The sequence below is a fragment of the Homo sapiens genome, chromosome 8 (genome assembly GCF_000001405.40).
Source record: "Homo sapiens chromosome 8, GRCh38.p14 Primary Assembly".
Classification (NCBI taxonomy): Eukaryota; Metazoa; Chordata; class Mammalia; order Primates; family Hominidae; genus Homo; species Homo sapiens.
The window spans coordinates 7422409-7445405 of record NC_000008.11 but is presented as its reverse complement, the minus strand read 5'-3'; the positions used below and the strand labels follow the sequence as shown (position 1 = coordinate 7445405).

At 43.1% G+C, this 22997-nt stretch overlaps 1 protein-coding gene across 1 annotated transcript; it reads left to right on the top strand.

Moving 5' to 3' along the window:
* The first annotated feature begins 15057 nt into the window (after positions 1 to 15057).
* On the top strand, positions 15058 to 16518 carry DEFB103B (defensin beta 103B). Its single transcript, NM_018661.4, has 2 exons — positions 15058 to 15333; positions 16277 to 16518. The coding sequence occupies exons 1-2, from the start codon at positions 15276 to 15278 to the stop codon at positions 16420 to 16422; spliced, it is 204 nt and encodes a 67-aa protein (NP_061131.1). The 5' UTR covers positions 15058 to 15275; the 3' UTR covers positions 16423 to 16518.
* The last annotated feature ends 6479 nt before the right edge of the window (positions 16519 to 22997 follow it).

Below are 22997 nucleotides of genomic sequence, written 5' to 3'. Positions count from 1 at the left end.
CCTTTCAAAATCCTACTCTTGCAGTACCATAGGCTATGTGCTTTAACAATAACACTGCAATACCTCAGAATACTAAAATTCCTCTTTTGGAATTGCCTTCCACATACCCCTCTATGCACACAAATAATGTCATCTGTTCGGAATGAATTAAGAAATTCACCCAAAATTATAAAAGAAATTCACCCAGGGTCCTCGGCTTCCTCCCTCACTCTGCAGAGAAGCAAGGGTCCGCCACACTCAGAAGACCATAAATGGCATCTCTAAAATCCTGATGGTCCTCGGGATGGCAGGATGCCAGAGGTTCAAGCTGTTTCCAGGATTCCTCCCCATGGGATGCCACGGGTGTGTTAGATCACCTGCAGGTTGTTCTACAGGTGACTCCACTGGAAGCTTAGTCACAGGTCTCGCCTGCAGGGAAACATGTGCCTGTCCTGACTAAATCTGAGAATGCACACAAAGGAGTAGCCCACCCTATAGACAGGCTAGCAAGGGCTTCGTGGTCACTGTGGTTACCCAGAGGGAGGCCCCTGGGATGGGACACAAGCACCGGCACAGACAAGGCCCAGGCAGATGCAGAGCTCAGACCAGATCTGTCCAGCATACAGGTATAGAAGAACTCTGTTGCTAAACTCCCAGGGGCCCAAGCACCTCCTGCAGGTAGACCTAGCAACACCACCTCTCCCAGCTCGTTGGAGCTTACTGAATGCTTTCTCCACTCCAGCTTCTGTGCCGAGCACCGCCCATGCATTGATCCCAGGTCATCTATGGAGTGGCATGAATATGCCTACACTGCAGATGAGATACTTAAGACTCAGAAATGTGAACTCACTTACCCAGAGCCACACAGCCAGGAGCCAGCAGACTTTTACCATGTCTATTTTAAGGTTCAAGAGGCATGTCTGCATGAAGCAAGTTAATGGTGGAAACTGATGGGCCCCCAACCTGGTGCACTTTCCCTTATGCCACATGGTTCCTATGCCGTAGAATATAGGAGACATGCTGTTCACCCACAACGTCACTTCTAGCTCTCCCTCTCTTAATAAATAGTGCTTGTGACAATCACTGTGGTCATAACAAGGATAACAGAAGACCATGCATTAAGAATTGCTTTTTATGTTTTACACTTGATCTGCAATGAAGTGGTTATTATTACTTGGACATGAAGAAGTGGAAACTCACCCAAGTTAAGAAACTTGCCCAAGAGCACACAGCTGGTAAAGTGGAAGAAAGGGGCGGAGTCTCCTATTCTCACTGTGGTGGGAATGTGTGAAAGGAGTTGGGGTTTCTGCCAAATGCATGTGTTCCTGGATTTGGGCAGGGTGGAAAATGACTTGTGAGCTTTGCTCCATGCCACTCTGGGAAGCCATCTCAAGGTATTTCACAGCTCACCTCAAGACTAAGAGATAAGGGACCCCTGCCCTGTCTCAGGAGAAGGAAGCAGACAGGAGCCTGGCAAGATGGTCCTGGAAGGAGGGAGATTTGTGTCTGTCCCAGCAGTGGGTATTGGGAGAAGCCGGTGGATGATTTTACACTCAAAAGTCTCCATCCCTTTGATCCATGTTAGCATAGCAGGCTTCTCCTCCTGTCATTTGAACTTCCAAGGAGAGGTTTGAATCCACTGTTCATATTTCCCACTCAAAAATATAAATGGAACTAGAGGCACAGTTCCATGCCTCTAGACACTGGCTTAAGCCTGTTGTCAGGCCTTGAATTGCCAGCTTCTCGTGTCCTGGGACTCCAATGCAGGGCTGCAGGGAGAGAGAAGGGTCAGGCTCAGACATGAGACCCATCACTACAGGAGGCTCCCCTGGTCCCCGAGTGGGTCTGCATGGTGCAGAAAAGCAAGAGAGAAGCATAAATTCAATGTAGCAGAGCGAACTGGCTTCCTTCCTATGGTAGGATCCTGGGTACAGCATGGAAACTGAAAATGACAAGTGGGAAAGACTCGATGAGCAAGCACAGGGAGGCCAGCAGAGAGCAAAGCCAGGTCCCAGGCCCTGGGCATGGATTCAGCCACCGGTTTTGGTCTAAAAGCAAGACGGAGACATCCAAACCAAAGCCAGGTGGCCCGTAAAGGGGCGATGGGCACCAGACAGGAAGGAGGTCAAGAGCCTCCCTGACGCTGAGCCTGGTGCTCCCAGGCCTCCCTAGGTACCAGGCTGACTGTCCTGAAGCCTAGTCTGACCCCCGCATTGACTGCCTAAACCCCATCACAAGCTGCTCACTGTCCTCCTGGTTAGCCCCAAACTTCCCAATAGGGTCCCCAAGACCCCTTGTACAGAAGCCCCCGCTAAACTCCCCAGCCAGAACTGCTGCCTTGTTCATCTCCAACCAGCCCAAAGTATTTTTTCTTGTTGTTGTTTTTTGAAACAGGGACTCACTCTGTTGCTCAGGCTGGAGTGCAGTGGCACTGTTACCGCTTATTGCAGCCTCTACCTCCTGGGCTCAAGTGCTCCTCCCACCTTAGCCTCCCAAATACCTGGGACCACCGGCATGCACCATTGCACACTGCTAGTTTTTTTAGGTGTTGAGCCACCACTTCCAGCCCCAAGGTATTTTAAATTCCTGAACTCACATGCTTTTTATTTTCCAGTTTTGTACCCTCTGGTTCCTACACCTGGGGCATTGCTCACATTTTCCCCTGTTCACCCTTTAGCTTGCAGCTCTGACTACACTTTCTCCGGGAAGCTGACACTCAGGCCCGAATGTGGCTGGCTGCCGCTCCTGTGACTCCTCCACTGCTGGGCCCACCTGGAGCTGGAGTCTGTCACCATGCAACTGCCTCCTGTGTCTGCTGTCCTCTACAGACTCCTGTGCCACCCAGAGCCTGTGACCTGTGCACCATTTATTTTCCTGAATATTTAGCTCGATGCCTATGTTTGTGGAAAGAAGGAGGAAACGGAGGGAGGAATGAAAGTGGGAGGAAGGAAGGAAGAAATGAAGGAAGGAAGTTAAGAACTAGCCCAGTGGCTGGCACCCGGAAGAGTGACAGATCAGCCCCACCAGAATGTGGGGAGAGTCAAAGGGACTCTGTCCTCCCTTCCTGCCTCCCAGTTGACTCAGCGCCTAGATCCTGGGTGGGGGAGCCCATGGAGGGAAGCATCAGCTGCCAGGCCGGGTAGAGGGGCAGCAATGGGGGGACCAGGTGACAAAGAGACTCTCAGCCTCTCTGTAGGATTGACCAGGCATGTGGTAGTGCCTGGAAGTGGGGAAAGTTGCTACAGCTGAAGAAGTCTTGGAAGGCAGCATTTCGGCATCATTGTGCTTCTCCATCCTTCTTCCTCTAAAGGGGGGTGTCTTTCTATCCAATTCCTCCCACAAGACTCACGTGTCCTCCTCCAGCTGAGGAAAGCCTGGCAGACTCTAGCATGACTGGGAGTAAAGGTGGCTGGGCAATCTCAGCACCAGGAATGCACATTCACACCACGAGACAGGGCAAAGGCTAGGTCCCTTCCCGGCAGGGGGATGCGCCAGCCTCGGGCTTCCTGGAATTCTCATCTGCCTGACCAGCTGATGGCAGAGTCACGGTGACTCAGGACTGAATATTCAGCTGCGATGTTCGATGCTAGGTGTGGTGCACGTCACAGGTGAGCAAAACCAAAGGAACTGGAAAAGCTTCACATTTGAGTTTACCATTGTCACTGAGTTGTTTTACAGGGAGGAGCCTGAGGTGCAGACGGTATCAGCTACAGGCCAGGTTGTGTCTCTAAGCCAGATGAGTGTCCTCATCCTTAAGGAGTCATCTTCCTCTAATCCTCTGGTTCTCATCCCCATCTCAGCTGCTTTTGAAAACTAAATATTATGCCAAGGCACCTCCTGCAGTGATGTGACTTCCTTGTCTGGGGTGGATCTTTAGCTGTTATTATTAAGATACCTCATTGTGTTCATTCTGCATCCAGAGCTCAGAACCATTGCTTGAAGTACAGAGTTGTGGTTCTTCCTGAACAAAGTGTTTCTGGGTCCTCCTATGTGTTGTGAGCGTTGCCTGGAACCGAGGCCCTGCTGGGGGTCATGGTCTTCTGCTGTGGTCACCTCCATGTAAAAGATGATGCCCTCTCTCCAGGAGCACACAGGAGGGTTGCAGTGGACCACAGTCACCCTCCCCTGACCAAAAGTTCCCTCAAACTCCCTTACACTTTTGTACGAGACCTATGCAGTACAAACAGAACATTTTATCAAAGTTTCTGGAGATTTCATCAAAGAAGGGCAACAAATTAAAGTCTGGAAAATTAATGCTTTTCCCAGATTCCAAAAGGGAAGTTTCTTTGCTTAGGTCCTTTAAAAGGCCAGTGGGCTCTTACGTGTTCCAGCCTCAGTCTCTTGACCCCAAGTTGTCCTCCTCCTTCATTCACCCTCGTTCTCTCCTTCACTGCTTGGGAGTGCAGTCTTGCTTCACTGCTCTCCTTCACTCCCTCCCTCCCACCTGCCAGCAGTGAGGACACCACTTGATTGTTCCAGCACCTCTTTCCCTTCGCTTAAACAGGCTGGAGCAGTCACTGAGAAAAGCAGCAGGAATATCATGGGTATCTAGTGACACCCAAGCTCCAGAGAACATTAAGCCTGAGGGGCTGAGTTCTCTAAAATGCCTTGTCTGCTGGGTACTGGTCGAACCCTCAGGCTGTCTCCATGCATGCCCACCAGGGTGAGTGCAAACAAACTTATTTCTTAGCTCATGAACCTGTTAGATAGAACATCTGTACAACTCCCCAGGACAAATGTTAGGTTCTGAGGACAGTACAGTCTCAACCCCAAGTGAAGAAAGAAATATTTCCCTGATTACTGAGATGCTTCTCACTTCCCCAAGAGCTAGGATCTCATTGTTCACCAAAGTAGCATTTGATTTCTTTCCTGCTCCACCTCATGCCTTCTTGGATCATTAAGGTACACTGTCACCCTCTTTTTGTATCTCAGGAGGTGTTGAACCTGGATTCTTCAAGTTAGGATCAAATTAAATATTTTTTTTCTTCCTGGAAAAAAGGAAAAAAAGGTAAGAAGAAGTTGGAACCTTGAAAAAAGAACAAATAGATTGCAGGGTAGGGAAAGAAACAGCTACCTCATTTATTTGGCTGAGTAGCCTTTATGGAAATAAAAATAGAGAAAAAGACTTCCTTTTCAAAGAAGCTGTCCCCAGGAAATGGAGAAATGCCAAAAACCACCTCTGTGCACATGCTTGTATCAGAGAGGAATAGAGAACAGGAGGGTACTGATTTCCACTCCTATAATCTTCCGTCTCCAAAAACTAGATAAAGAGATTTCAATGTGTTTTTGAGAAAAACTAAAACACATTTTTGGTTTGCCATTGCACAGAATGGCATGAGGAACTCATAGCATGACTTAAAGAAGATGCCCAGTTTTGAGATTGAATTAATGGGCAACTGCTCAAAGATGTGATATTCTTAAATATACTCTGAGATCTGAAGTTAACAAAGAGAAAAAAAATAGTGCATTGATTTTATAAGCAAAGGAACTACAAACACTAAAGAAAAACAATTAACAACATGACAATAGTAAGTCATTACCTATCACTTTGAATGTAAATGGATTAAATTTTCTAATCAAAACATGTAAAGTGGTTGAATGTATCAAAAAGCAAGGTCCAACTATATGCTGTCTACAAGAGACTCACTTTAGCTAGAAGGACTCACACAGGCTGAAAGTAAAGGGATGGGAAAAATATTCCATGGAAGTGGTAACCAAAAAGAGCAAGAGTGGCTGTTCCTACATCAGATAAAAGAGACTTTAAGTCAAAAGCTGTAACAAGAGACAAATAAAGTTATTATATAATGATAAAGTGGTCAATTCATCAAGAAAATAAAACAATTATAAATATATAAAGCAAAGATTTAGAGAACTGAAAGGAGTAACAGCAATTCAGTAATATCAGAGACTTCAACACCCCACTTTCAACATTGGATAGGTCATCTAGAAAGAAACACAACAAAGAAACAGTGGACTTGAACAACACTAAAGACCAAATGGACCTGACAGACATATACTGAACATTCTATTCAACAGAAGAATACACGTTCTTCTCAAGGGCACGTAGAATATTCTCCAGAGTAGATAACATGTGAGGCCACAAAACAAGTTAATAAATTTAAGAAGATTAACATCATATGAAGTATGTTTTACCAACCACAATGGTGTGAAACTAGAAATGTGTGTGTGTATGTAGAAGTGTGTGTCTTTTTCTGTAAAGAGGGAGGGATAAGATGTATTCTAGATGTGAGGAAGAGAGAGAAGAACATAAGAGCTCTAATGTTCTAATGTAAGAATATGTGGCTCTGATCTGGGATTTCCCTGAAGTTTGTGTGAGCGGGACTTGTGGATCTAGATGTTATGACATCACAGAACTTCGCAAAGGCCATATTGAAATAAAAATTGGCCAGTGTCCTGGACCCAAGATACAAGCAGATGGTAAAAGAACATAATTTCTCTGTTTTAGGGAAGATCTCAAAATAAGCATCATTCAAGTGGTTCTCCAAAGACCATCAGAGCCAGGCCAGTGAGAGATAGTAAGGAATTGGGTACTGCAGTGCATTGGAGCACTCATATTCTATGTAAGGAAGCTGTCCCCAACCTTTTTGGCACCAGGGACTAGCTTTGTAGAAGACAATTTTTCCATGGACCAAGGTGGGGGAGATGGTTTTGGAATGATTCAAGTGCATTACATTTATTGTGCACTTTATTTCTATTATTACATTGTAACATACAGTGAAATAATTATACAACTTATCATAGTGTAGAATCAGTGGGAGCCCTGAGCTTGTTTTCCTGCAACTAAAGAGCTCTATCTGGGGGTGATAGGAGAGAGTGACAGATCATCAGGCATTAGATTCTTATAAGAAACATGCAACCTAGATCCCTGGCACGCACAGTTCACAATAGGGTTTGCAGTCCTATGAGAATCTAATGCTGCCACTTATCTTACAGGAGGTGGGGCTCAGGTGGTAATGCAAGTGATGAGGAGCAGCTTTAAATACAGATGAAGCTTCGCTCACTTGCCTGTCACCCACCTCATGCTGTGTGGCATGGTTCCTAACAGTCCAGGGACGGGTACTGGTCCATGGCCCAGAGGTTGGGGACCTGTGATGTAACGGGACAAGAGATTTTTGGATAAATCTCAGTGTTACATGTAGAAACGTGGGCCCTGGTGGTTTAATCATTGAATTTTTCTGAGGAAGTCAGAAAACTGAATTTTTATGCAAAATTTTTAGTGTTTTAAATGTTGACACCTAATATCAAAATACTTCGATGGACTATATTTTACTCATGGGCTTCCAATTCAAGACTCTGGTTTAGATGCAGGAATCAGCTTGACAATTCAATGAACCATGAAGACTTAGACCTGTAATGACCTCAGAAATCCATGATTCCTTTCCCTTTTGTAGGCAGAATAAAAAATGGAAGGGCTAGACTTGGTCAACAGTTAGTCTAAATTTACATAGCAAATTTGTAAAAAAACTGGGACTGAAACATAGGTCTCTAAATCTCTTCCATTCTTTGCACTATACCTCACTATATTAGTTATCCATTGCTGCATAACAAATTATCCCAAAACTTAGTGGATGAAGACGAGAAACATTGTTATCTCACACATTCTGTGGATTGTAGAAACTAGGCATGGCCCAGCTGGGTGCTTCTAGATCAAGCTCAGTCATGAAGTCACAGTTAAGCTGTCAGCCAGGGCTGCATTTGTATCTGAAGCCTACACAGGGAAGGATCTACTTCCATAAACTCACTCACATGGTTATTGGAGGGAGTTAGTTCCCTGTGGGCTGGTATATTAAGAGCCTTAGTGACTGACTAGCTGTTGGCCAGAGAAGCCCCTCAGTTCATTGCCTTGTAGGTCTCTCCATAGGGCGACTCAAAACATGGCAGCAGGCTTCCACAAAAGCAAGAAGAGTGAGAAGGCATCCAAAACTGAACCCACAGCCTTTTTATAGCTTACTCTCATGACTTCTGAGATTAGGTTATAATCTATTGCTTCATAGACTTATAATCTATTTATTAGAAATGAGTGAATGAGGCCAGCTCATAATCAAAAGGAGTGGCTTACACCAGAGCATGAATCACAGCATTTCACAAAGACAGGAATCCTTGGCAGCAATCGTAGAGGCTGCCTGCCACACTCAGTGTCTCATAAATTTATGCCAGGGGTCAGAAAACTATGGACTGCTGGCTAAATCCAGTTGCCACCCAGTTTTATAAATAAATTTTTATTGGAACAAAGCCATGGCCATTTGTTTATGTATTGTTTATGACTGCTTCTGTACTATAGCTGCAGAATTAAGTAGTTGCAACAGAAGCCACATGGCCAGCAATGCCTAGAAATATTTACTGTCTAGCCCTTTACAGAAAAGGTTTGCTGGCCCCTAATATATGCAATCATAAAACCTCTTGAAAAATATGGAAGAGGAGATTGAGTCAGAGATGTCAAATTCATCATTTTATTGAATTTTTCTTGGTGCTCTAGCACCATAAATACCATGCTATGTAATTTTATAAGGCAGTTAGCTGGAAATTCTCAAAACAGGAGTAGCCCTGTGGTCTGAGCCAAGTGGGTGAGGTGTGGCTTCCATTCCCCAAGCCCTCTCTCATTTATTCTCCACCATATATAATCATTTCCCTTTCCACTGGGAAACCCCACACCAAAAACCTTTGACAGAAACATGGATATAAAATATAACTACAATAACCTGAATAATAAAGCAAGTAGTTAGCATAATCTGTGAGCCTGATGGTCCTGGGCTTCAAATTTTAGAAAGTTATTTCGTTTGTCTTAGCCTTAGTTTCCTTAATCTTTTTTTTTTTTTTTTTTGGAAACAGAGTTTTGCTGTCACCCAGGCTGGAGTGCAATGGCGTGATCTGGGCTCACTGCAACCTCAACCTCCCAGGTTCAAGCAACTTTTCTGCCTCAGCCTCCCAAGTAGCTACGATTACAGGTGCCCGCCACCACTTCTAGATAATTTTTGTATTTTCAATAGACACTGGGTTTCACCATGTTGGCCAGGCTTGTCTCAAACTCTTGACCTCAGGAGATCCGCCCACCTTGACCTCCCAAAGTGCTAGGATTACAGGTGTGAGCCACTGTGCCTCCTCCTTATCCTTAAGTAAAAATTCTGATACCTACTTTATGCCTTTTTTTGTCAGAGAAATGCATTAAAGCACCATTGCCATGCCAGGTACGTAATAACAGCTCCATAGATACTAGCCACCATGTGCAAATCATTTAATAGTCATCCATGGCCTATTACCACATCAGTCAATAGGCTCATTTCAATTACCAGTTCTGAAGAAAGGATAGTGGCAGACGACCTGTTTTAACAAAAAGTCCCCTGGGTCACACCTTTTGCCTTGGATGCATCACTTCCCCACCTCAGCTGCCAGCCCATTGATGAGTTGAGCTCATGATTGCTTTGTAAGAGCCACCTGTCCCCTAAAAGTCCTCCCTGAGGAAGCAGCCATCAGAACTGTGTAGGCTGGTGGCCAGAGGTAGTATAGGGTGTGTTTTTACTGGGACAGGGCCATGATTAAATAGAAAGAACCCGGTTGGAGTTACCCAGTGTAAACAGAAGGTGAGGTAGTATTATGCACTTCATTCTATTTGTGGTGAAAATATTGCTGCCAAATGGGTAGAAAAATGTCTTTAGGGTAGCTTTATATGAATTTCTCATACACTTATCCCCTCCTTGATTTTGCCTATAGGAATTAGGAGAGTCAGTCCCCATCTTGTCAGGCATGATTTTAGAAACTCTGGGAAAGGCATGCAACCCCACATCACTGCTAAGCCTGTAAATTCCTAAACTAGTTTGAGCCTGTTTTAAAAAGATGCCATATGTTAAGCCTGGCTCTCTCTCCATAGCATGTCTCCCTCAGTGCCTGCTGGCATCACCACTTTAATTCTAATTGATGGGACCGCCACCTACCCTGTCCCCTGAACAGTATCCCTAGGCTGCCTCCTCTCTTAATTCCTTCTCTCATGCTCAACCATTGTATTAACTCTTGATTGCTTCTTCTAGATGGCTCTGGCACTCAGGTCTGCCTCTTTCTCCCACTGGCATCCGAAACACAGCAGACCTGAGTTCAGCTCTTGGTCTTCTGGCCTTCTGTCTCGTAAGCCTCTGCTCCACCCTCCATATCATATCTGCACCAAAGCACGATACCAGCATTCCCTAAAGGCAAGGGTTACTGGGGGCCATTGCAGTGGCTGCCTGCCACACTCAGTATCTCACGAATTTATTTATATTTTGTTAAACCATAAGTGTGTTCAGATTGTTCTCATGTTGTAAATCATTTGTTGTCTTTGCATTAGCTGCTACTGTTCTCTCCCTATTTCCTTGCTCTTCTGGAAGTATTTCTTCTTTGTGATATTCATCCTGAGCATCCTAGGAGATACTCTAGGATTTGAAAATAATTCTTATTATCTAAAGGGTGAAAGCAACATAGGACTTGAGTATGTACTTTCTCATTAATATAAGGACATAAATGAAAAGACACCATCTATTAAAGATAATAAGAAATGTTCACAAATAGTATATGGCATTCATTATGGAAGTTGGTAGAAGCTCCAAGTGTCATGCAAAATGTGCTCTGCAGAACTGCAGAGGAGGGAGGGATCTCTTTCAACTGGGGTGATTGTGATCATGAGGAACTGGTATTTGAGTTGGTCCCTGAAAATTATGCAAACCACTTTGTAGAAAGAATTGGCTGATGGCTGTAAACCCAGCACTTTGGGAGCGCGAGGAGGGCAGGTCCCTGGAGATCAGGAGTTCAAGACCAGCCTGGCCAAAGTGGTGAAACCCTGTCTCTACTAAAAATACAAAAATTAGCTGGGCATGGTGGTGCAAACTTATAGTCTCAGCTATTTGGGAGGCTGAGGTGGGAGAATCGCTTGAACCCGGGAGGTGAAAGTTGCAGTGACCCAAGATTGTGCCACTTCACTCCAGCCTGGGAGACAGGGTGAGATTCTGTCCCCCCCTCCAAAAAAAGAAAGAAGAGTCAGAAAGAACCTAGTTTCCAACATCTATCACCAAGCAATTTGGAGAATGAAGTTGATATTTACAGAAAAAGTGATGTAAAGATTGGTTGAGAACATTGGGGAAATGGTCCAGACTAGAGATGAAGATGGAAGGTAGCTGCATGCAGGCATAGATAACCACATCCCAAAGATCATATGAAGCCAGCAGAGGCCCACGAGTAAGCATCTGGAATACAGTTAGGAGCATGGGAGCATCAACTGGCCTTTCCCCATTTGGGAAATGCAGATAAGTGTATCAACATTATTAAATTACTGCATGATTCAAATGAAATAAATGCAAGTAAATTGCTTAGCACAGTGTCTAGAACATAATATGTGCTCAATAGATCTGTTACAATGACGTGACAATGATGATAAGGAGGAGGATCATTATCATCATCATCATTATGATTGCCATGAAAATGTTAAATTCTTGAAGATGTTCCCTTTTGGGGACTTCAGGGACAGGAGAAGGAGGAAAACTTCCATGATGAATCAAAGGCAGTAATGGGAAGGATAGGAGGAGACAATGGAAAGCGGATGTCTGTTATATCGTGTTACTGTCAGCTTGTATCTTTTTCCATTAGACTGGGAAATAGTGAAAATTCAGAGCCTAGAGAGTAAATATTGTTTATCTTTCTTTCCTGCACAGCACCAGGTCCTAAGACCCTAATACAGAGCAGATGTCCATGAAGTTCTCTGGACGTTGAATTGAAATTGAGGAATAGGTTTCTGAAAGTGGCCTTACGAGGCACATGTTGCAAAACGGTCAGGTAGGAAGATTACAGACAAAAAACTCATTGAGCTGGGGATGTAAAAGGCTTGGCTGGACTTAGGAAGAGTAGTTTGGACAGATTTCTTGAGATGCTAGGATGCAAAGAATTTAGGGACAATGGGGTGATGGAAAAGGGTACACACCTAAGTATAGACCACTACACATGAGTGTAGATCACCAATAGTCAAGGGATGACTCTGAGAGCAGGCAGAGAAATGACTGGACATGCTGGCTTCAGGTCACAATGCTGCAATTCACTACAGCATGTCATTCAACCTCTCTGAGCCTCAGTGTCTTCATCTATAAAATTGGAAAAATGTCTGCCTTTATTTGTATAACTTATATAATGGTGGTTGTGACAAGATTAATGGCTGCAAAGGAGAATGGCTGAGCCAACCTTCATCTTAGACTATGTCAAGATGAAGAGGAGTTGACACCCTGGATTCCCGTGCTGGGAGCCCATGCCAGAGTCTTGATATTGTTAACCGAGGGTCACGTGGGTGATACTTGGGTGATACATGGGTCACATGGTGATTTGCAATGTACAAGTCAATTTCACACCATTAACTCATAGGGCTTTCACTGTGACCTAAACAGGAAATGTACTGCTCTCTGTGCTTTGTTGCTGAGTTACAGATGCTCACAGAGCTTAGGTAATTTATTCAGGTAAACCCACGCCATACACGGTAGGGCTGAGTGATGGCCCAATGACGCCTCACTTCAGACCTGGTGTTTGTCTTCTACATAGCTCTGCCCTTCTGCCACAAACTTGGACCAATCACATCTCAGCTCCACATTTTAAGAACAGGATTTAAAAAATAATAATTAAAGGAAAGTCTGACATGAACAAAGGTGATAAATAACTAAAGTTTCTCTTCCTTGCTCAACCTAATCAAAATGTCAAAATGCTGGCTGTGAGAGCTACAAGGAAACCAAGCACATGGGTACAAAAATTTGCAGGATCTGCAGTTCCAAGCGCTGTGACTCAGAGCCCAGGGGCAGGGAGTGACAAGACCCAGCTGTCGTTAGTGTTGTATGGCTTCAGACACATGAATCTATTCACCCAACTATTAGACAGCACACGTGTACTTGTTATCATTTGAGAGGCTAAAAGTATTGAAGACATAAAAAGGATTATAATAAGCCAAAAAGAGGACAATTCACAGTTGTCAGTGGCTCCCTGAAGTAGAGAAGTAAATTACACAGTCTCTCTCTTCTATTGTTTGAAATTTTACCATAAAAATGCATTACTTTTATAATTTTCTTAAAACAGGTAAGTCCCCCTCAAAACGGATTTTGTGTGTCTGGAGTATGTCCAAACTTGAAAAGGCTGATTGTCACAGCCCAATCTCCAATTCCCAGCTCCCAAACTAGTTGACAAGAAAAAGTGGCATTTTTCCTCACCAAGGAACTTTTATGAAATAGTGGTGTTGCCATAAAAATGCCTCCCAGTCTATGAAGGAACAGGTTAGACCAGGGGTTCACCTGTGGAAGTCTATTCTCCATGTGGAAAAGCAAGTCATCTCCAGCGTCTGACTGTCCTCACCCCAGGCTGAGAGCTGGTGCTAACCCTCTACAACGCCCAATGCCATCGTTATGTCTGACATAGTAAGACTGTGAAGTCAGCACCCATCCCACCCACACTCACCTCCTTCCCCCATTTATAAATATCTCCAATTGCTTTGTCTCAAATCATGAACTAAAGAGGAAAGTTAGATTTTAAAAAGTAGCATCTACCTATCTAAAGTCTTAAATCTGCTGATTGAGCTCCACTCTTGGCTCAAAGAGTTATCTTTGAGTTATGATGAGTTATCTTTCTTCTACGTTTCTGCAGCCCTGTGCTTGAAATCTTCCTATGACTCCCATTATAATTCATCCTAAATTTATCATTTGACTGTCTGCCCATCTACCTGGCCCTACATGGAGCTTCTGGAGAGAAAGAACCAAGACTGGTCCCTCTTGGTATCTCATCCACTTCACCCTCACCTATGCTGAAGACATGATACTTGTCCCTTCCTATAGTATGTGTTCAGAGTTTTCTTACTGAATCTGACAGGTGTGGTGCACCCAAATTCTGAACACACACTCCCAGAACTAACACACCCTTGATCCTTAGTGGATCCGTTATAATTGCATTCACACGAAGCAGCAGCTAGGAGACATCACGGTGACTTCAGCTCCCAATTGAATTGTCATTGACTTACTTAGTTCCCAATTGATAGTCAACCAAATACAACCCATCCATTGGATTCCTGAACATTTAAGTTTAATAGCTGTTTTTTTTTTCTTTTTTAGCATTTTTCCCTCTAAACGTTGAATCTATATGCAGGGGAAATCATCTGGCCCCTGGACTGCCTTGAATGCTCCTGAGCCAAGAGTAACTTGAGGTCTTAAATGTCTATTCTGAAGCCCCTCTTTTGCACAGGGACAGTCATTGACTAGGAGGAGATGCCAGTCTATTAAATCTATCATCCCAGCATCCTCTTTCTCTGATGAAGTAAAATTAAACACCTTCTTTACTCATAAATTTGGTAGGTTTTAGACAATGATGAAGAATCGGACATGGGCCGCACACAGTGGCTCATACCAGTAATCCCAGCAATTTAGGAGGCTGAAGCAGGAGGATTGCTTGAGCCCAGGAGTTCACATCTGGGCTCGAAACCAGTCTGGGCAGCATAGTGAGACCCCATTTTATTTTCTACAGAAAATTTAAAATTTAGCCATGTGTGGAGGTATGCGTTTGTGGTCCCAGCTACTCAGGGGGCTGAAGTGGGAGGACCTCTTGAGCCTGACAGCTCAAGCTGTTGTGAGCTGTAATCATGCCACTGCACTCCAGCCTGCACAAAAAAGTGAGACTCTGTCTCTCAAAAAAAAAAAAAAAAAATGAAAGAATGAGACATGTTTCACTCAAATTATAGCACCCCATCATAGGCCAAGGGCCAGGTGGTCAGCTAACCTTGAATGTAGCCCATTTTCCTCCCTTACCTCACTACCAAAAAGCCAGTCCTATTGCCAGATATTGAATATGTCCAGGGCTGGATTTATTTGGTCCCCAGGAGGGTCTTAGACTCTCCCAGCATTTTAGGAAGAGAAAAAAAGCTCCAAAGCAGCAAAGTACGGACAAGTCAGCCCCCAGCCACATGCCCTGAGACTATTCCCCAAAGGGGGCATACTTGCTCATGCCAGCCCTATCTGTACCCACAACCCAATCTGACCCACACCCAGACAAGCCCCTGGAGTCCAGAGAGCACCCGGACAGCCACAAATCCATAGGGAGCTCTGCCTTACCATTGGGTTCCTAATTAACTGAGTGAGTGGGTGTGTTCTGCATGGTGAGAGGCATTGGAATGATGCATCAGAAAACATGTCATAATGTCATCACTGTAATATGACAAGAATTGCAGCTGTGGCTGGAACCTTTATAAAGTGACCAAGCACACCTTTTCATCCAGTCTCAGCGTGGGGTGAAGCCTAGCAGCTATGAGGATCCATTATCTTCTGTTTGCTTTGCTCTTCCTGTTTTTGGTGCCTGTTCCAGGTAAGATGGGCTGGGAAATCTAAGGATTGATCTAATTGAGAATATATAATTCAGAGTCAGTATTTCTCCATCCTTCAGAGTGCTTTGGACCAAGCAGGTTTGTTGTATGGGAACTAGGCATCACCACTTTTTTTTCAGACAAGAATCATTAAGAGGCCAGGTGCGGTGGCTCATGCCTGTAATCTCAACACTTTGGGAGGCCGAGGTGGGCGGATCACGAGGTCAGGAGTTCAAGACCAGCCTGGCCAAGATGGTGAAACCCCATCTCTACTAAAAATACAAAAATTATCTGGGCACAGTGGCGGGCACCTGTAATCCCAGCTACTCGGGAGGCTGAGGCAGAGAATTGCTTAAACCTGGCAGGCGGAGGTTGCAGTAAGCCGAGATCACGCCACTGTCCTCCAGACTGGGTGACAGGGTGAGAGTACACCTCAAAAAAAAAAAAAAAGAAAAGAATCATTAAGAAACTAAATAGCTCCCCAAAGCTATCTCTTTCCCCAACTCTTCAAGGGAAGATTATTATACCAGCTGATGAGACATGAATCAGACATAAAAGTTTAATGTAGCAGGAAAGATTGATTTACTCTGAGAATAGAAGCACAGGCTCCTGTTCTACTAAGTGCAATGGTTGGAGGTGGAGTGTTGGGGCTACCTCTGAGGACACCACAGCCTCAGCACCCCCACTGTTCCTGCGGCAGTCACAGGGTCACGCCACTTCCCCGGTGCCACTGTGGGTCCACAGCTGAGCTGCAGCCTTAGAAACATTGTCTATGGGTTGTGTAGTCATACCTTCATCTTCCTCCTGATTTTATAGAAAAAGGAAAAAGAAACAAAAGAATACAAGAAAAGCAAGGGATGAGTTATTTGAGGAATTCCACAAGCCTTGTACGTGTACCAAAAGCCTTCCTAAAACCTTTCCGTGTGTGCTGTTTTGTCATTGCAGGTCATGGAGGAATCATAAACACATTACAGAAATATTATTGCAGAGTCAGAGGCGGCCGGTGTGCTGTGCTCAGCTGCCTTCCAAAGGAGGAACAGATCGGCAAGTGCTCGACGCGTGGCCGAAAATGCTGCCGAAGAAAGAAATAAAAACCCTGAAACATGACGAGAGTGTTGTAAAGTGTGGAAATGCCTTCTTAAAGTTTATAAAAGTAAAATCAAATTACATTTTTTTTTCAAAAAAAATTAGGAGCTTGATTTTTTTTTTTAAATCTGATTATTTTGGTACTTGTTTCCAAACAGACAACTCAGAAAATCTTAAGGACTCACCTTTCGTTCAAAGAAAGTAGAATCTCTGGAGAAATCTATAAGGGAGCCCAACCTTATTATCCAAGGGTTATCAGGTTCTATTCCTACTTTGTGAACGTTATGCCCCAGTGAAGTTGGACTCTTCACTCTCTTGGAATATGCCCTTTGCTTTCATGTCATCCAAGCCTTGGGCCTTTTCAGTCCCTCTACCCCAAATGGCATCTCTCCACCAAATCTATCTCTAAGGTTTTCATGCATCCCTCAGGGGCTATCCCAATTCCTTCCAAAAACTTTGTCTTCAGAGAAATAAGGAAACTGGCTCTTCCTCAGATATTCACTTTGCTTTCTCTCACCCATGCCTCTGCTCTGGTTGACCTCATGTCTGCCTCACTCCTCCAACTTCATCTCTAAACTTTAACCTGTCCTTCAGGGACCGTCTCACATTTTATCTCCACCTTAAAAACACAGGTGATTTCCCAAATGCTTACAGTCTTTCCTCTGGTTCACCACAGGGTTCTGACTTGAGTCCTCCATCTACAACCCTTGCTTGGTTTTTACATTGCGTACAGTGACATATTGCCAATCTCCATATTAGACTTTGTGAGCCTTAAAAGCAAGGAGTTTGTCTTAATTCTTCCTGTACTGCTTGTAAAGTGCCCTGAGCATGAAGGCTGCTCAACAAGTATTTATGAATTGAAGTACATTCAAACGATTTATTGATTGAATTATCTTTAATCATTCAAATGATTTGGAGGTACTGCAGTTTAACTATCTAGTGCTCTCTCAACGTTGATGCAGTAGGATTCCAGCAAATGGAGTGTGTGGTTTTTCATACCTGACACCAGACCCCACTCATGGCTCCACGTATGGAGAAAAGACAATACAACAAGGCTCTTAGGAAGAAAGGCTCAAGGGCTCAAAAAGATGAGACTGCTCCTCACTTTCCATCCAAAATGGACTCACTGCTATGGGAATCTCCCTCTGACAGCAGACAAAAGGGAACCTGTCAAGATGTGTGACAGCTGTGTTCAGACATTGGATAATAAGCAGTGCAACAGACCAATGAAGTGAGACTTTCGATTGCCCCCAGCTCACTACAGCAGCAGGGTCCAGACCACAGCACACAGAGGAAGACTCAAACGAAGTCCAGCAATCCTGAAGCATTGAAGAGACTGAAATCAAACTTCCCAAAGCACAAGACACCCCCACTTCCAGGGCAGAATAGCAGAGAGAGGGTGCCTAGAAGGAAGCAAGGCCCCGAAGTGTTGGTGGTGGGGGCAGGGACACATGGTAAATCTTCAGTCCTGGGCTGTGTTTTCATGTGAGCACGCTTGGGGTAAGACTTCACAAGGCTAGAGGCAAAGAAAAACACCCAAAAGGGATTGGATAACAATTTTAGGAGCACTAAAGGCTGGAAAAATTTTCATTCCCACTAGCAAAGTGGAGAGACTGCAGAGTCCTTGGGCAACTAACACATTAGTAGTAGTGCTATTTGGCTCTAGATTAAATTGTTCTGCAACCACTCTAACAAATTTTTTTCTAAACCATTCTTGAAAGGACCAGACTGATCTATGAGAAACTTAAATGTGGGACAGAATAAAGCCTAACGTTCTTCAAAGAAAAACAACTAAATCCATCACTCAACAGTTTGTGCTTTATAGCACACTGAATCTAATAAAAAATTAGCTGCTATGCAGGAAAATATGGTCATAATCAAGAGAAAAATCATTCAGTAAAAACAGATCCAGAAATGACAAGGATACTAGGATCAGCAAAAAAAGATTTAAATGAGCTATTATAAATGTTATAAATATGTCCGAGTTTGAAGAGAAAAACTGTTCATGATGAGTGAGAGATATAAAGAGACAAATGGAATTTCCAGAGATTAAAAATAAACATCTGAGTAAAAGATACTATGAGTTGGATTGTGGCATATATTCCAAAATAAAGATCAGTAAACCTGAGTTTATATTACTACAAATGAATGAAGAAATAGTACAAAGAGAGGAGAAAAGGGCTGGAAAATAATAAGCAGTGACCTGTGCAGAAACATCAAGCAATCTAGCAACTATGTGTGTTTAGACAGCCAGGCGTGGTGGCTCACACCTGTAATCCCAACACTTTGAGAGGCTGAGGAGGGTGGATCACAAGGTCAGGAGTTCAAGACCAGCCTGGCCAATATGGTGAAACCCCATCTCTACTAAAAATACAAAAATTAGCTGGGTGTGGTGGCGTGCACCTGTAATCCCAGCTACTCTGGAGGCTGAGGCAGGAGAATCGCTTAAACCTGGGAGGCAGAGGTTGCAAGTAAGCCGAGATCACACCACTGCACTCCAGCCTGGGCGACAGAGCAAGACTCCATCTCGAATAAAAGAAGAAAAGTTTTGAGAGAGAGGATAGAGCTAAGGAAGGAATGGCCTATTGTTTTCCAAATTTGGTGAGACTATAAACACACAAATTTACCACATGAAGACATCCAAGTTGAAATATGAAACATGAAGAAAACCACATGAAACATATCATAATCAAAGTATTTTAAATCAGTAATAAAAAGAAAATTTTAAAAGCAGCCTGAGGGCGGGCACAGCGGCTCATGCCTGTAATCCCAGCACTTTGGGAGGCCAAGGTGAGCGGATCACCTGAGGTCAGCAGTTTGAGACCAGCCTGGCCAACATGGTAAAACCCTGTCTCTACTAAAAAAAAAATACAAAAATTAGCCAGGCATGGTGGCACGCACCTATAATCCTAGGTTACTCAAGAAGCTGAGGCAGGAGAATCTCTTGAACCCAGGAGGCGGAGATGGCAGTGAGCCGAGATCACCCTACTGCACTCCAGCCTGAGCAACAGAGAGAGACTGCGTCTCAAAAACAAAAATAAAACTAAAAAGCAGTCTGAAAGGAGACATATTACTTACAGAAGAACAAAACGTTAAGTGTTATCTTCAAATGCCGAAAGAAAAAAAATGTTCTCTTAGAAATCCACCCCAGCAAAAGTATATTTCTAAAAAAAGGGTAAACACATAATCAAATAATAAGTAAAGGCATTTTCCAGTAACAACAATAAAAGCTAAGAGAATTCCTCACCAGCCAGTCTGTACTATAAAATGCAAAGATAAGTTTTTTGGCAGAAAGGGAAGATGCTAGGTAGAAATTTGATTCCATATGATGAAAAGAGCATGCTGTGAACATTCTAGAAGCTCCTTAAAGAGAGAGATTGTCAGTTCAGTAAAAAGCAAGACCCAACTACATGCTGTCTATAAAAACCCACTTTATATATAAACTTTAAGAACAAACTTAGAGTAAAAATAAAAGGATGGAAAGAGATATAATATGAAAACATTAGTATAAAGAAAATAGGATTGGCTATACTGGCTCATTGACATAAATTAGGGTAGATTTTAGAGCAAGGGGTATTATCAGTAATAGGGAGAGATATTTTTCCTAATGATAAAGTGGTTACATCACCAAGAACAGATATTAATATTAAATCAGTGTGTGCCCCTAATAACAGAATTTTGAAATTCTTAAAGAAAAATCAATAGACATTAAAGAAATAGACAAATTAGCAATTGCAATTAGACAATTCAACCCTTCTCTTCCTGTAAGAGATTTTTTAAAGCAGACAAAATATTAGTAAAGGTAGAGAAGTCTTGAGCAACGCTACCGTCCAGCACAACCTATTTGAGATTTATAGAACACTCTACCAAATAACAGCAGAATGCATTAAAATATTACCCAATAGAGCTCATACTAACCTATGAAACGTCTCAAAAAATCAACATAGTTTAAAATTATACAAAAGACAGTGTCTATCTCCAGTGGAATTTACAAAACTATCAATACAGAGAGTCATCTGGAAAAATCTCCATATATTGGGACATCAATGAACATGTATCTAAATGGTCCAGAGGAGAAATCACAAGATACTTTAGAAAATATGGTCAACTGATAGAAAATGAAACCATAACATATCAAAATTTGCGGAAGTGCCACTAAAGTGGCTCTTGGAGACAAATTTATAATTAAATGCTATTATGATAGAAAGCAGAAAAGCTCACAAATAGACAATTTAAGTTTCCACTGTAAGAAACGGTAAGGGAAAAGGGAACAAACTAAACCCAAAGTAAATAAGAAAAAGAAAAAAAAAGAGAAAAAGAAAAAGTGAATAAAAAGAAACTGGACACAAAAAAACATTAAAAATTAGTAAATAAAAGCTGATTCCTTGAGAGGATCCATACAATTGTGAGAACTCTCAATAGGTTCATTAAGGGGTAAAGAAATTACTGTAAGTCTCAGGTGCACACCCAGGCTTCAGGCAGGCAGGAAACAGATTACATCTGCGTTTTAGGGTCATATAGACGAGCCGCCACGAGGTGGCAGTAACTGCGCACTCATTCCCTCACCTCCTGCAAGACCAGGCCAGCCCAGGCTCTGGACTCACCACTCAGCTCAGAAGATGGAAGAGGGTGACAGTAGCTCCATGGACTTTGGCTTTAGGCAGAGCGTTACTGTAGCTTTGGGGTTGTAGGAGGATGAAGAGGGGAGGTTATCAGGACACCATGATGATTGTGTGGCGCTGGTTAGGAACATGGGCTTTGAAGAGAGGGGGATTTTATTTCAAATTGCATCTTTGCCACTTAGTAGCCAGGTGACCTTGAACGTGTCCTCCAACCTTTCCATGCCCCAGGACCTGCCTCTGTAAACTTGCGTAATACCTACCTGGCAGGCTTGTTTCTGAGGATTTAATAAGATAACTAATATAAAAATGGCCATAGCAGGGCTGGCCGCAAAATTCCTAAGTTTCAGTGCGAAATGGAAATGCAGGGTACCATGGTTTAAAGAGCAGAAAAAGAAAGTGTAATGAAAGGCAGTAGGATATTAAGCTTTTTCAAACAAATATTTTTCATTGTTTGAAAAATGTAATAGTTATACAGGAGTAATGACAGAATCTTACAAATCTCCACCAGAAATTAATTTCATAGTTTTAATAGAATAAAAATACTACTCTATTAATTGGATTTAGATGAATCATACAATTTTTCTGGCCCACTTTTCTGTCAAATAATATATTAGGACAACAAACTTTATACCTTGAGCAACTTCATTTTATCTTTTGGGAAGAATCTGCTGAAGCCACTGTTTCTGGAATATATTCCAAGCTGTGACAACATGAGGATAAATTATTTTGAAACAGATTTTAGTATATCTGGAGCTGGTGATTCTTGTGAAACAATTTGTCTCAAAAGATTTAACTCTTTAAACAAATCAGTTTCATGTAAATTTGAATCTAATTTTAAGTGTCAATTTCTCCAGCGGAATTTTGATGCATCTTCTGACATGTTCTGTAAGTTGCAGAGGCCCACAGCAGACCAATATGGCATCATGATTTGTAACTTATTCAAAACCCCTGTTTATGAATTCTATTGCTATGTATTTATTAACAAGAAAAACTTAATTTTTAAAATTGCCCTCCTTGTTCATAATTGATTAATCAGAAGGTTTTTGTTTGTTTGTTTGTTTGTTTTTTGTTTTTTGACAAGGTCTGTATTTTTCAGGCTGGAGTGCAGTGCTACGATCATTGCTCACTACAGCCTCAAACTCCTGGACTCATGTAATCCTCATACCTCAGCCTCCCAAGAAGCTAAGGCTACGATCATGTGACACTATGGCCAGCTAATCTTTATTATCTTTATTATCATTATTTGTAGAGATGGTGTCTAGTTATACTGCCCAAGCTAGTATCCAACACCTGGCCTCAAGGAATCCTCTGACCTGAACCTCACAACGTGCTGGGATAACAGGCGTGAACCACCATGCCTGGCCCATCAGAAGTTTTATACAAATATAGCATCCTTCTCTGTTGAATGTGACTACTATTACATGTTTAATTTCCATTTCTGAGTCTTGGATAATGCCTTAAAGAATTCTAAACTCTCTGAAGAATTCCAAGAACTTCCTGGTATACTTTATTGCAATGTCCATGGGCACACTTTTGTTTTGTGCTTCTCTCCTCCCAGTTTGCTATCTGAGCACCTATGGTTCCTGTCCTGGTGCTCAGGTCAGGGGGTAAATCTTTGTGCAGAAGCTCCAAGGATGACTCTGAGAATGCACAGGCACAGAGGTGTCAGTGCTGCCTCCACACAGAGACACTCCATTCACCCCAGGGCTGAGGACACCTGCTGCTGCTGCTGCTGCTGCCACCTCCCATCCCAGTCCAGATGTGCCTGGGCTGCTCCAAGAATGCCTATGCTCAGGGCAGCAAAGCTCTAGAACGTCCCTGGGCCTGAGCCTGCCCAACTTGTCTCCCCTCATAGCCACTCTTCCCATGTGCCTGCTCCATTGTCCTCAGTAAGCTTCACTTACAAAACACAAGTTCAAAGAAAAAACTAAGAAAGTCAGGGAGCTATCAGCAGAGCC

Coding starts and splice junctions, on each gene's coding strand:
- DEFB103B (NM_018661.4), top strand. CDS start 15,276: ATGAGGATCCATTATCTTCTGTTTGCTTTGCTCTTCCTGTTTTTGGTG. Junction 15,334..16,276: donor GTTTTTGGTGCCTGTTCCAG/GTAAGATGGGCT, acceptor TTGTCATTGCAG/GTCATGGAGGAATCATAAAC.